We start from the raw sequence: 15,976 nt of genomic DNA, 5'->3' as shown, positions 1-15,976 counted from the left end.
TGTTCCTGTACAGAACACTGTCATGACATTAACATACCGCTTTAGTGGTTTCAGACCTTCGCTTATGAAATTCTAATCTTCTTTGCGAGGTCGAGTCATTTTTCTGTCTAATCAGAGTCAGACCTCTCTCAGCAGTTTATGGGGCAGACACAAAAAATTTGCCAGTAGCCGCTCATCACCTCCCAGATTTGTATGTATTCCAAACCTTGTAACAACCATTCTAAAGGAAAAGTGATCGGCAGTGATAGGAATCAATCATAACTCCATTATCCATTTGTGGTAGATGAAATGAGCAGAGACTTCCGTGTTATTTAGAATCAGCTTTCAGCAACAAGCGGGTACAATTTTTATATAGTGATTTCTTGGAGAACAATGAAAGCATTTCATGTTCAATTTATTACAGTAATTTGAAATTCATATATCAGAGAAAGGTTGACATGGATCTTGCTGGGACTTCCTCAAAAACAATAATGATTAACAGTCATCATTTCTTATTCTCATCTTTTTCAAAGAGAGAAGGAAGAAGTCATTAAATGTGTTGTGAATGACAGGATTTCTAATCTATGAAAGAGGGTTTGAAAGGGATTTTCTGCAACAACTTCCACCATCTTTTTCTTTCTGTATAAATCCACATTTATTAATATTTTAATCGGCATTTAAAGCTACATACAATTTTATATTCTTATGATCGATATCTTTAGCATTATAATGTCAGTATTTTCCATGTTATTAAATGATCCTTAGCACATAATTTTAAATGTAACCTGATAGTCCATCATATGGATTTGGAATGATTCAATTAAATATTCTCCTATTGTTAAAAAGAGGCCGGGCGCGGTGGCTCACGCCTGTAATCCCAGCACTTTGGGAGGCCGAGGCGGGTGGATCATGAGGTCAGGAGATCGAGACCATCCTGGCTAACAAGGTGAAACCCCGTCTCTACTAAAAATACAAAAAAATTAGCCGGGCGCGGTGGCGGGCGCCTGTAGTCCCAGCTACTCGCTGAGGCAGGAGAATGGCGTGAACCCGGGAAGCAGAGCTTGCAGTGAGCAGAGATTGCGCCACTGCAGTCCGCAGTCCGGCCTGGGCGACAGAGCGAGACTCCGTCTCAAAAAAAAAATAAAAAAAAATAAAAAATAAAAAAAAAAAATAAAAAGAGTTCTTGTTTTTATAATTAATGTTGTAAACATTTGTGGATAAAATATGTTCTTAGCATGAATAACTAAAAGTTGAATTATTGAGAAAATAATGTCATTATCTGAGAGTTTCATTGATATTGAATATATTTTTGTGAAGACTAAGCATATAGGAGAGTTTCTATTTCATCTATTTTTTCTATGATAAATCATTTTGTAACTTTACCTCCTCCAGTCATGTTTCTTCCTCTTCTTTCTTAACTCAACTCTACCTGGATTGACCCAACCAGTGAGATAATTATCATAATTATTTATTTATTTTAAGTGCTTGCTAGTTGTGAAACACTTTATCAAGTAGTTTATATTTATCAATGAATTTAATTCCTATTTTAGAGATAAGGATACTGAGACACCAAGACACACATAATAAGCTTCCCAACGTTCCCTAACCAATAAATAGCAAAGTTTGAATGCAAAAGCAAGGCAACTATCTTTAAACACTATATTTGTTGACAATAGAGTGTGGTCTCTGATTAAAGCCCCAATACCTGGAGGTGGACTTTTGTTTTATAGGAAATCAGGACCAATGCTGGGACCAGTAGGGAATTTACATACACACAAGGTTTCATGGTTCTGAAAATTGCTTACCAGCATGAGGCCCCAAAGGCTTCTAGGCAACACTTATTATAGTGAATAAGGCTGAGAAGGAAGCCAGTTGCCTGGAGGAGACTCAGCTAGACCTGGGCATATTCCACATCATCTCTGACCCTGTTGACATTGATGACACCTGTGAACTGGATGATGTGCTAATTTCTTTATTTTATTTTATTTTATTTTATTTTATTTTATTTTATTTTATTTTATTATTATTATACTTTAAGTTTTAGGGTACATGTGCACAATGTGCAGGTTAGTTACATATGCACACATGTGCCATGCCGGTGTGCTGCACCCATTAACTCGTCATTTAGCATTAGGTATATCTCCTAAAGCTATCTCTCCCCACTCCCCCCACCCCACAACAGTCCCCAGAGTGTGATGTTCCCCTTCCTGTGTCCATGTGTTCTCATTGTTCAATTCCCACCTATGAGTGAGAACATGCAGTGTTTGGTTTTTTGTTCTTGCGATAGTTTACTGAGAATGATGATTTCCAATTTCATCCATGTCCCTACAAAGGACGTGAACTCATCATTTTTTATGGCTGCATAGTATTCCATGGTGTATATGTGCCATATTTTCTTAATCCAGTCTATCATTGTTGGACATTTGGGTTGGTTCCAAGTCTTTGCTATTGTGAATAGTGCTGCAATAAACATACATGTGCATGTGTCTTTATAGTAGCATGATTTATAGTCCTTTGGGTATATACCCAGTAAAGGGATGGCTGGGTCAAATGGTATTTCTAGTTCTAGATCCCTGAGGAATCACCACACTGACTTCCACAATGGTTGAACTAGTTTACAGTCCCACCAACAGTGTAAAAGTGTTCCTATTTCTCCACATCCTCTCCAGCACCTGTTGTTTCCTGACTTTTTAATGATTGCCATTCTAACTGGTGTGAGATGGTATCTCATTGTGGTTTTGATTTGCATTTCTCTGATGGCCAGTGATGGTGAGCATTTTTTCATGTGTTTTATTTCTTACCATGAGCTGTCTGTTAGTCTTCGTGTATCTGAGATTCCAAATAGGCAATTTAATGGTCTAATTTAATAGGCAAGTAAATTAAGAATTAAATTAATATAAATTAAATTAATACATTAAGATTAATTAAGAATATTAATATATTAAATTAAAAATAATTTTACTTCTTTAAAAGTATGAAATCTTTAAAATTATTAAGAAGTATAAAAGTATTTACTTCTTAAAATATTTAAAAATATATATTAAAGCTGGGTGTGGTGGCTCACAACTGTGATCCCAGCACTTTGGGAGGCTGAAACGGGTGGATCACTCAAGGTCAGGAGTTCGAGACCAGCCTCCTCAAAATGGTGAAACCCTGTCTCTACTAAAAATACAAAAATTATCCAGGCACGCTGACGTGCACCTGTAATCCCAGTTACTGAGGAAACTGAGGCAGGAGAATCTCTTGAACTCGGGAGGAGGAGGTTGCAGTGAGCCTAGATGGTGCCACTTGCACTCCAGCCTGGGCAACAGAGCGAGAAACATACAAACAAACAAATAAAAACAAAACAAAATGTTAAACATAATCCATATTATTATTTTATAATTCAGAAAATGAAGGACAATGTATAAAATAATTGTCAATTTCTAAAATAATATCATTTATTTAGAAAATTAACATGAAAAAGATGACTACTTTTATTTTAAGAAACAAAGAAATATGTGAATAAATTAGGAAGTTTTGGATAGATAAACAAACTGAAAAGAGATTAAATCCTTTTCATCATAAAATATATGAGTGTTATGATTACAATTTAAGTCCTAATGGGAGTCAAAGAAGTTAAAGTGATTCTTCATTTCATATGAAAATTAGAGTAAAAAAAATAGTTAGAATGAATAAGACCTAGTATTTGATAGCACAAAATAGTGACAATAATTGATAATAATTTAATTTACATTTTAAAATAACGAAAAGAGTATAATTGATTATTTGTAACACAAAGGATAAATGCTTCAGGGGATGGATACCCCATTCTCCATGATGTGATTATTACACATTGTATGCCTGTATCAAAATATCTTATGTACCCAATAAATATGTACACCTACTATGTGTACACCTACTGTATACCCCTAAAAATTAACAATTAAAAAATAATATTTAAAAAGTAAATTAGTTCTGATAAATAACAGTGACTACAAATAGGCAACTTTAAAAAATTTTTTTATTTTTATTTTTCATTTTTTGAGACGGAGTCTCACTCTGTCTCCCAGGCTGAAGTGCAGTGGTGCAATCTTGGTTCACTGCAACCTCTACCTCCCACATGGGTTCAAGAGATTCTCCAGCCTCAGCCTCCCGAGTAGCTGGGATTACAGGCATGTGCCACCACGCCCAGATAATTTTTGCATTTTTTAGTAGAGACAAGGTTTCACCATGTTGGCCAGGCTGGTCTCAAACTCCTCACCTAAGGTGATCTGCCCACCTTGACCTCCCAGAGTGCTGGGATTACAGCTGTTAGCCACCACGCCCTGCTGGCAACTTTTGAATAAAGTGAATTGTTAATGTGGTAAATACATACATATTTACACATACAGAGACACGATGAGAAAAACGAGAATCCTGGCATAAGAAAAGGAAGACATATTCATGGAACATTTTATTTAGAAGCTAAAATAATTTTATATGTTGAATATGTGATGAAAGCAGATTTTAGAGCAGTAATAGATGACGTACTTTTGAGTAAAAAAAAATCATTACCAAAATTGATTAATGTTGATGAAGGTAATCATGTACTCTGCAGCATTCACTAAATATTTACCCAAATGATAATATTTCAAGTCAATTATAGACTTGAGTATATATAAAAATATATATATTTATATATAATATATAAATAGATATAGAAATGAAATATAAATTTTATTTTAATTTATAGCTATATTTATTTATTTATATAGAAATAAATGAAATATATAATTGGGCAACAATATGAAGAACACAGGTAAATATTCATTTTGCCTAATAATTATATCTACAAATATCAAATTGTAACTTTTAGTTACTTTTGTAAATTGTGTATAATATTTCTAAAGTATTTTAAATTCTTAATTTCTGGAAAAGCTAAATGCTTTGGGGTTTACTTAAGTTTAGTATTTTCTTCTGAGAATAGAATATTCATTCTCTTTTTATTCTAATGTGTACTAGGAAAACTGCCATTCCCATTATGGAGGAGGTAAGGCAGAAAATTTGAAAAAAGTACAACTCGTACTTTCTGTCAGCATCACTCTTGTCAGTAGATCTAGTAATAAATAAATAGCAGACAGAATAGTTGACCTATTAAGATTTTATAAACTACTAAAGTATCCAAAGTAATACGAGTATTAAGAAAATGAAAAGAGAAATAATGTGAGAAATATAAATGTATTTTTTTATTTTTTGACCAAAATCTTTGAGATTTAAACAAAATAGAAAAACAAAACTTTTTTTCTTACATGTTCCAGATTTTCTGACCCAAAATTATCTGGAACTTGGGACAATTACTGGAGAATAAAATGTAGCGTTTTACAGTGAATCATTACTTCTTATATTTTAGTTTTTATGTAGGCACTCCCTTAAATATGTATTTGGATAATTGAAACAAAACTTATGTCCCAGAGTAAGGTTCTGATTCCTAGGAATTTTTGCGCAGTCAAATATTTGACTACCATAAACTCTGGGTAATTTAAAAACAGATATGATAAATATTAATTTTGTTTGCAAATGAATGCACAAATTTAAATCCTTAATTATGAAATCTTATATTAACAAAGTATTAAATCAATGATAAATTGATGTGCATCCATGTATGTGAAGATATATAATTGTATTACTCTTTGTGAATAAAACAAAACAAATACGTAGGCCTCTGTTATTCTTCCCTTGCCTGTACTCCATACCTAAAAATGTGAGTAACTGCAAACATGGAAAGACTTACATTAGTCTCCAAAGCTCTCTTCTTTTCTCTCAACTCTCAGAAAACAGGTAAATTCCAGAAACAATGTTTGTCTTTTTGTCTGATTGTTAGTATAAACAAAGTTAACATCGTTCCTTTTCTACTTGTACCCTTTTATTTGGCAGGGTCAGGGAGGGGCGGTCACTGTTGCTTATAAAACCATGCAAAGAATGTGTATTCTGAAAAGTTTCTGTTGTAGTGACTTTAATCTTCAATTTCTAGTTTCTAATTTATTTTAAACTACAAATGATTCATGGTATTTTGACATCTATAGTTAGGAAAGAGTAGTAGCTTTGTATTATAATTTACTACAAACGTATTTTCTTTTCAAACGTACTTAAATTAAAAATGAGGTTTTCTTTCATTTAAAAAAATATTAAGTTGGACATGAAAAGCAAGCTGAAGGGAAAAATATATATCTTAAAGAACATAAAGACATCTCTAAGATTTTGATACACATATTGGGTATTTCATTTTCTAAATACTGATCTACAGCTGTGACACTCTTCTAAAACTCTACCTCTTCATTTATATACATTCATTTGGACATGACAGCTTTTTATTTTTACTACTTTTTATTTTCAGGAAGTCTAAAAATGAACATGATTTTTGCATTTTAAATTTTATTTATCCTCTACATTGCCTATGTCAGTGGCTTTCAAATCATATAGAAATTCTTAAGTAGGTACCCTAAATAAATATTTTTGATATGACACTCAGAAAACTGCATTTTAAGATACACTCTGAAGCAGTGTTAATCTTATTATTTCAAATCTAAATCTTAGAAACTCCAAAATAATTTTTTAAGTTGCTGGAGCTATATACTAATGAAATAAAGTTTAAAAGAGGACATAGTCAAACTATGGAAGATCTGGTAACTCTGATAACAATTCTTTATTTTACTTATTTTATTTCATGGAATGAAATAAAATAGTCTTATTAAGATGGTGCCATGAGCAAAACTGTACCTATGAAAAAAGGCATCATCGGTATTATGGTGATGTAGAAGAATCCTTTAAATATGAACAAAAGTGGATAATGACTGGATGAAATTAAAGGGTTGATCGTTAGGAGAAAAAATCAGACTGGAATCTGAGGTTGATTTTTATCACTGGTTTTGGCTCTCCTCAAAATTTCATGTTTGGATCAGAAAAGAATAACCTCAGTAAACACTCCCTTTTAATTGTTTTTTTTTTAGTTTTTAGTTTTCATGTACACATAGTAGTTGTACATACTTATGGTGTACATGTAACACTTTGATACAAGCATATAATATGATATAATCAAATATGGGTAATTGACATATTCATCACCTCAATCACTTATCATTAGTTTGTGTTGGGAATATTTCAATTCTACTCTTCTAGTTATTTTGGAATATATGATAAGTTATTGTTAACTATAGTCAGCCTATTGTGCAACTAAACACTAGATCTTATTCCTTCTAATTAACTATATTTTTATACCCATTAACAAATGGAACAGACATGGTAGACACTGTTTCATAGAAATCCTGAAGTCCAGCTCAGCAAGTAGTGCTAGTTTCTCTTGATTAGGGCCTATTCCTGCTTTGTAGGAATTATCTACATGGCTTTAGATTTTGCCCTTTGAGCTCTTATTCTGCATTCTTCCTTTTCAGTAAGGAGAGTCTATATTTGTAGCTGAGTAGCTTTCCCAATCTTCTTACTCCTAGAAGGTTGTGATCCTCAAACTTGCTTTTGATTTTGACCATCCTTTGTATTTTTCAGTTCAAGCTTATGGTGCTTCTGTTAGTACAATTCTCTTAAAAATGATGGATTTCCTATTCATCTTTTTTTGCCTCTTTTAAACAAAAAGTCAAACTCCTGAAGCTTTGTAAGATGGGTTCTTCTCTATATTGGTCTGTGAACAATGGTGCTGCGGAACAACCTTCCAAGATTCTTTGAAACCATTTTTAAGATTTTATAGGGTATATTCACATGTCCTTACGATATTGTAGAAATCATATTATCTGAGAGGTGATAACAACTTTAACAATTCTTAAAATAAAATTGCTGTAGTAAAAAAATGAAAAAAGAAATCACCTTATGTCATTTTGACATCTTATCAAAAATTCCCACAGCTACACACTTTAATCTTAAAATTACTCTAAGGCCATGTTTTACCAGTAGACCCTGGATTTGAGTTTTCCTCTATGGTTATTCTTACCCTGGGAGTATTTGAGCGGGTGGGAAGAGTCTTCTAGTCCCTCATATATCCTCTAAATTTTGCTAAACTATCAAATAGTTTCATCCTTAGTTTATTTCTCTCTATATTCACTTTTTCGGACACTATTACAAGAAACCAGTTGACCTGAAAAATCTCTTTAGATCAATTCATATACTCATAAAGTTCATTTTTTTCTTTTTCATGTTACTGCAGGCAATTGTTCTGCTAAACATTCTGCCACTAGAGAACACACATTATCATCCCTCTGGGCTCTTGTTTTGCATCCTTTTAGCTTCCAGTGGAGTCTCCTTGACATCATTTTTGCTTCTACTAATTGCCTGGTTTCAAAGTCAATGTCAAATTGTTTAGATTTCTGTTATAGCACCTCAACCGAAAATTCCAAGGTGGCTCATTCACATGGCAGGTTCTTGATTGAAAGAAAGTTCAATAGATGCTACTTACTGTGGAATCCACATATAACCTTTCATGTGAAATGGGCTCTCACTGCAGGGCTACTGAATTTCAAGAGGTAAGCAGCAGAAACTGCAGGTTAGTTAAGGGCTATTTTTGGACCTGACACTTCTACTATATTATTTTGGTTAAAGCACTCTCACAGCTTGCACACATTCAAGAGAGTGGAAAGACAGATCCCAACACCTAGTGAGAAAATAGTAAGATTATAATGCCAAAGAGCATGAGGATGGAAGGTAGAGGTGTAGTCATAATTAAAAGATACAATCTGCCATACATTCTGCTTAGAATGATTCTTACACCTGGACTGCATGCTCATTTAGAAAATTCATTTCATACACTCTGTATTTTTGACTAAACATTTACTAATGGCATATTTTGTTTTAGAAATAGTGTGAATCATTTTTAACCTGGCAATCATAAACAATTAAAAAGTTACAAATCTAAAACAGCTAATAATAAATGGTGGCAGACATTTATTCAATTTTGACTCATATTAGGAAGTATAGGGCAATTTAATTCTCATTATTTTCCAAATGGCCTTTTTGTTTGTTTGCTTACTTTTGTTGTGGCTTAACACTGAAAGTTTTCAGAGTCTTTTTTTGTCCCTGTTATTATTACAGATTTTCACAATGGTTTTGGGAAAGAGCCTTTAAAACTCACTGTGCTAAGCAATAAATGAGACTTTTCCATCTGAAGATATTGTAATCTAGGTAATACAGTAGAATTGTGGTGATGATTTTCTTCTCTTCAATTTTTAGGTTTCTCTCTTTCTATAATACATGTAATGCAGTTGTTGAAATGTCAACTTTGATTGATTATCTATGGCTCTTATCTTTTCAACACCTTAATCTTGGTCACTTGATTTTGTGTTTTGGGAAATCTACAGATTTCTCCAAAACTTCTAATTTTTTTTTCATACTGTTGTGTTTTTTACAGTTGTAGTTTTAATCTTTAAGTCTTTCCTATGTCTTTACTTGTATTACTTCCATGTTTCTTTGCATTATTTTTAATTTATTAATTTATTTTTTCTCTTTTCTTTTTCTTAACCTACTTTTTAAAAATACGTGTTTTAGGTTTTGCAATCCAGACTATCAAAGTTTTACTTAGTTGTGTGTTAATCCTTGATAGTCTGTTCATTATTAAGATTTAAAAATATTGAGTCACCACCATCATGTCCACAGCCATAAATCTTAGGACCAAGATCTTCCAGGCATGGCCCCTGGACAAGGGAAGCTTCCCACTGAAACTTTTCAATAAATATGAAAGCCTAAAGAGAAATTTATGAGGTGCCTTCATGATAATAAATGTGAAAATATTTTGCAGAAGAATAAATCAAAAGCATATTCAGAATGCAGAATGGAGAGACAACAAAAGGCGTAAAAACCAAGAGGAACACTAGGATTTGGAGATTTGATAGAAAATCATAGACAAAAATAAATTTTGATGGGAAGAACACTGGACTTTATTCAAGGAGAGGTCTGAGAAACAGCATGTTGCACTATGTGCATCGTATGAACCCTGGAGGTTTCATTATCATGTCGAATTACATAGGAATGAATTTTCAGAATGCCCTTTAAACACTTAAAGAGAAATCAAAACTGAGATACCTACCTTTACAGATAGGAAAACAGGGAAATGGCTTATCATTTGAAAACCTTACAGAATTATTTACAAAACAAAATAGCGTTTCTTTCAGATTCTTATTTTCCCCTATGAGAGCATTTTGTTTTATCTTTAAATCCATAAATGTGACAAAGCTAACATGAAGGCTGATGACAGGAAGTACGAATGCCAACATAACATTACAATTTGTAAGTGGATGCCTCGGGTCTCCTATAAAATGGTATTTTTACTTATAATAGTCTATCTTTCAGTATTAACATGTGTAAAATATTCACAATTTCAGTCACAAACTTCAGTCAAATTATATAGACAGATATTGTCAAGAAATAGCCTTTCACTGGCAAAATGTTTTCCTTCTTGTACTCATAAATATACATAAGAGTTTCTTTCTTTTTAAAAAAATAGAGTACAAAATAGCAAGTGAGAAATTCTGTTTTTTTACATAATTGACTTTTTGATTTTTTTCTGGTTATGCCTAAACACTAAGTGCCTTTCCAATCAAAGGATCATTTTCTGATTCTGTCAAACTATTTTTATAAAACCAGATGTTTAAGTTCAATATCATTTATTGTAACTACGAAAAGTAAAATTCCAATACATTTGTAGTTTGACTTACAAAATAAAGATTGAGAATGTTTGAAAGCTGACTGTAATATTTTTTTGTGCCTGAGTGAAATTTGTTGTTTGAGAAGCTCACATGTATGGAAAATTGTTTGCAAGAGTTGTGCCCTAGACCAAAATGAAACAGTAGGGATTGATTAAAACAAAGCTACCGTTTGAAAAATATAAATCAGTCCATGTATATGAAACAATTATTTTCAAGGCATTGAACATCAAGCCATGTAGGACAGTGTTGACAGCAGGTAAACAAAAGAGTCCTGATTGCCCCAGCTCCCTGCTCACAGGGAATTCCCAAGCCACAGCTCAGCATGGGGATTCCAGAAGGAGCTCCACAAACTCCCTGATTGGAAGGGATGATACCATCTTAAAATTAAACTGAGAAATATTAAGGACTGTTTAAATAAATGGAGAAATGTGCCATGTGAGTGGATTAAAAACCTAATTTTGTTAATATTAATTTTTCTAAACTGTATCTTTAGATACCCCCCAAAATACAGACACTGATTAGCTGACTCTAAAATCTCTATTGAAATGCAAATAAACAAAAATAGCTAAAATCATTTCTAAAATAATGATCAGAGTTGGAGGATGATATGATTTGGCTCTGTGTCCCCACCCAAATCTCATCTTGAATTGTAATCCCTGCATGTTGAGGGAAGGAGGTGAATGGATCATAGAGGCAGTTTCTCCCATGCTGTTCCTGTGACAGTGAGTAAGTTCTCATGAGATCTGATGGTTTTTATTTATTTTTACTTTTGTTTTATTTTTCTTTATTTCTTCTAAAAAATAATTGGGATACACGAGCAGAACATGCCGATTTGTTACATAGATATACATGTGCCATGGTGGCTTGCTGTACCTATCGATCTATGATCTAAGTTTCCTCCCTTGGTCCCCCACCCCCTAACAGGCCCTGATGTGTGTTGTTCCCCTCTCTGGGTCCATGTGTTCTCATTGTTCAACTCCCATTTATGAGTTAGAACGTGTGGTGGTGGTTTTCTGTTCCTGTGTTAGTTTGCTGGGGATGATGGCTTCCCGCTTCAGCCATGTCCTTACAAAGGACGTGATCTCTTTCCTTTTTATGGCTGCATAGTATTCCATGGTGTATGTGTACCACATTTTCTGTATCCAATCTATCATTGATGAACATTTGGGTTTGTTCCATGTCTTTGCTGTTGTAAATAGTGCTGCAATAAATATATGTGTGCACGTGTCTTTATATTAGAAGTATTTATATTCCTTTGGGTAAATACCCAGTAATGGCCTTGCTCAGTCAATGGTATTTATGATTCTAGATCCTTGAGTAATCACCATACTATCTTTCACAATGGTTGAACTAATTTACATTCCCATCAACAGTGTAAAGGCATTCCTATTTCTCCACAGCCTTGCCAGCATTTATTGTTTCTTGACTTTTTAATAATTGATGGTATCTCATTGTGGTTTTGATTTACATTTCTCTGATTATCAATGATGTTGAGTCTTTGTTCACAGGTTTGTTGGCCATGTAAATGTCTTCTTTTGAGAAGTGTCCGTTCATATACACCTTTTGACGGATTTGTTTGTTGTTTTCTTGTAAATCTGTTTAAGTTCCTTGTGAATTTTGGATATTAGACCTTTGTCAGATGCTTAGATTACAAAGATTTTCTCCTATTCTGTAAGTTGCCTGTTCACTCTGATGATAGTTTATTTTGCTGTGGTGAAGTGCTTTAGTTTAATGAGATCCTACTTGTCAATTCTGGTGTTTGTTGCAATTGCTATTGGCATTTTTGTCATATATTCTTTGCCCACACCTATTTCCTGAATGATGTTGCCTAGGTTTTCTTCTAGGATTTTTGTCGTTTTGGGTTTTACATTTAAGCCTTTAGTCTATCTTAATTTTTGTATAAGGTGTAAGGAAGTGGTCCAGTTTCAGTTTTCTGTATATGGCTAGCCAGTTTTTCCAGCACCATTTATTGAATAGGAGATCCTTTCCCCATTGCTTGTTTTTTGTCAGATTTGTCAAAGACCATATGGTTGGAGATGTGTGGTGTTATTTCTGAGGTCTCTGTTCTGTTTTGTTGGTTTATATGTCTGTTTTGGTACCAGTACCATGCTGTTTTGGCTACTGTAGCCTTGTGGTATAGTTTGAAGTCAGGCAGTGTGATATCTCCAGGTTTGTTCTTTTTACTTAGGATTGTCTTGACTATACAGGGTCTTCTTTGATTTCATAAGAAATTTAAAGTGGTTTTTTTCTAATTCTGTGAAGAATGTCCATAGTAGTTTGAAAGGAATAGCACTGAATCTATAAATTACTTTGGGTAGTATGGCCATTTTCACAATATTGATTCTTCCTATCCAGGAGGATGGAATGTTTTATTCATTTGTGTCTTCTCTTATTTCCTTGAGCAGTGGTTTGTAGTTCTCCTTGAAAAGGTCCTTCACATACCTTGCTATCTGTATTCGTAGGTATTTTATTCTCTTTGCAGCAATTGTGAATTGTAGTTCATTCATAATTTAGCTCTCTACTTGTCCGTTTTTGGTTTATAGGAATGCCTGTGATTTTTTCACATTGATTTTGTATCCTGAGACTTTGCTGAAGTTGCTGATTAATTTAAGTTTTGGGGCTGAGATGATAGGATTTTCTAAATATAAAATCATGTTGTCTGCAAACAGAGATAATATCAGAAGTACAAAAAGGAGCTGGTACTATTCATTCTGACACTATTCCAACAATTGAAAAGGAGGGACTTCTCCCTAACTCATTTTATGAAGCCAACATCATCTTGATACCAAAACCAGGAAGACACACAACCAAAAAAGAAAACTTCAGGCCAATATACCTGATGAACATCGATGCAAAAATCCTCAATTAAATACTGGCAAACCAAATCCAGCAGCACATCAAAAATCACATCCATCATGATCAAGTTGACTTCATACTGGGAAGCAAGACTGGTTCAACATACTCAAGTAAATAAACATAATCGATCACATAAACAGAAGCAAAGACAAAAACCACATGATTACCTCAGTAGATGCAGAAAAAGCCTTTGATAAAATTCAACATCCCTTCATGTTAAAAATTCTCAATAAACTAGGTATTGATGGAACATATCTCAAAATAATAAGAGCTATTTATGACAAACCCACAAACAATATCATTTTGAATGGGTGAAAGCTGGCAGTAATTTCTTTGAAAACTGGTACAAGACAAGGATGCTCTTCTTCACCACTCTTATTCAACATAGTATTGGAAATTCTGGGCAATCAGGCAAGGGAAAGAAATAAAGGATATTTAAATAGGAAGAGAGGAAGTCAAACAATCTGATGGTTTTATAAGGTACTTTTCCCCTATTCACTTTTTTCACATGCTCTCTCACCAGCTGCCATGTAAGACGTGCCTGCTTCCCCTTCTGCAATGGTTGCAAGTTTCCTGACGTCTCCCCAGCCATGTCGAATTGTTAGTCAGTTATACCTCTTTTCTTTAGAAATTACCCACTCAGGTAGCTCTTTATAGCAGTGTGAGAGTGAACTAATACATTAAATTGGTACTACAGAGAGTGGGGTACTGCTATAAATATACTTGAAAATGTGGAAGGACTTTGGAACTTGGTTACAAGCAGAGAGGTTGGAACAGTTTGAAGAGGTCAGAAGAAGACAGGAAGATGTGGGAAAGTTTGGAATTTCCCAAGGGCTTGCTGAATGGTTTTGACCAAAATGCTGATAGTGATATGGACAATGAAGTCCAGGCTGAGGTGGTCTCCACTGGAAATGAGGAACTTCTTGGGAAATGGAGCAGAGGTCACTCTTGCTATGCTTTAGCAAAGAGACTGGTGGCATTTTGGCCCTGCCCTAGATATCTGTGGAACTTTGAACTTGAGAGAGATTATCTGAAATTGGAACTTATATTTAAAAGGGAAGCAGAGAATAAAAGTTTGGAAAATTTGCAGCCTGACAATGAAATAAAAAAGAAAAACTCATTTTCTGGAAAGAAATTCAATACAGCTGCAGAAATTTTACATTAAGTAATGAGGAGCCAAATGTTAGTCACCAAGATAATGGGAAAAATGTCTCCAGGGCATGTCAGAGGTCTTGGCAGCAGCTCCTCCCATCACAGGCCCAGAAGCCTAGGAGGGAAAAATAGTTTCTTGAGCCAGGCACAAAGACTCCCTGCTCTGTGCAGCCTTGGGACTTGGTGCCCTGTGTCCTAGCTACTCCAGCTAGTGTTTTGGCTAAAATGGGCCAAGGTATAGCTCAGGCCATACATTACTTCAGAGGGTGCAAGCTCCTATGGCTTACAAGTGGTTTTGGGGCCAGTGAGTGCACAGAGATCAAGAGTTGACATTTGAGAACTTCTGCCTAGATTTCAGAGGATGTATGGATTTCAGAGGATGTATGGATTTCAGAGGATGTATGTCTAGATGTGCAGGCAGAAGTCTGCTGCAAGGGCTGAACCCTCATGAAGACCATCTGGTAGGGCAGTGAAGAAAGGAAATGTGGGGTTGGAGCCCCCACAAAATGTCTGCACTAGGGCACTGCCTAGAGGAGGTATGAGAAGAGGGCTACCATCCTCCAGACCCCAGAATGATAGATCCACCAACATCTTGTACTGGGTGCCTGGAGAAGCCACAAACACTCAATGGCAACCCATAAAAGCAGCTGTGGGGGATGAACCCTGCAAATCCACAGGGGCAGAGCTGTCCACGGCTCTGGAATCCCACCTTGTGCATCAGCGTGCTCTGGGTGTGAGTCATGGTGTCAAAGGAGACCATTTTGGAGCTTCAAGATTTAATGACTGCTCTGCTGGATTTTGGACTTGCATGGAGCCTGTAGCCCCTTTGTTTTGGCCAATTTCTCCCAATTTAGAATGGGAAAATTTACCTACTACCTATACCCTCATTGCATCTTGAAAAGTAACTAACTTGCTTTTGATTTTACAGACTGATAGGCAGAAGGGCCTTCTCTCAGATCAGACTTTGGACTTGGACTTTTGGGTTAATACTGGAATAAGTTAAGACTTTGGTACTGTTGAGAAGGCATGATAGGTTTTAAAATGTGAAAAGGACATGAGATTTGGGAGGAGCCAGGGATGGAATGATATGGTTTGGCTTTGTGTCCCCAACCAAACTTCATCTCAAAGTGTAATCCCCACATGTCAATGGAGGTAGGCGATTGAATTAGAGTGGTGGTCTCCCCCATGCCGTCCTCATGATAGTGAATGAGTTCTAAGAGATCTGATGGTTTTATAAGGGGCTTTTCCCCACTTGCTTCCTACACACACTCTCTCTCCCACCTTTCGCCATGTAAGATGTGCCTACTTCCCCTTCCACAGTGATTGTA

This window comes from Homo sapiens, chromosome 5 (genome assembly GCF_000001405.40).
Source record: "Homo sapiens chromosome 5, GRCh38.p14 Primary Assembly".
NCBI lineage: Eukaryota > Metazoa > Chordata > Mammalia > Primates > Hominidae > Homo > Homo sapiens.
Note: the sequence above shows the minus strand (reverse complement) of the source record.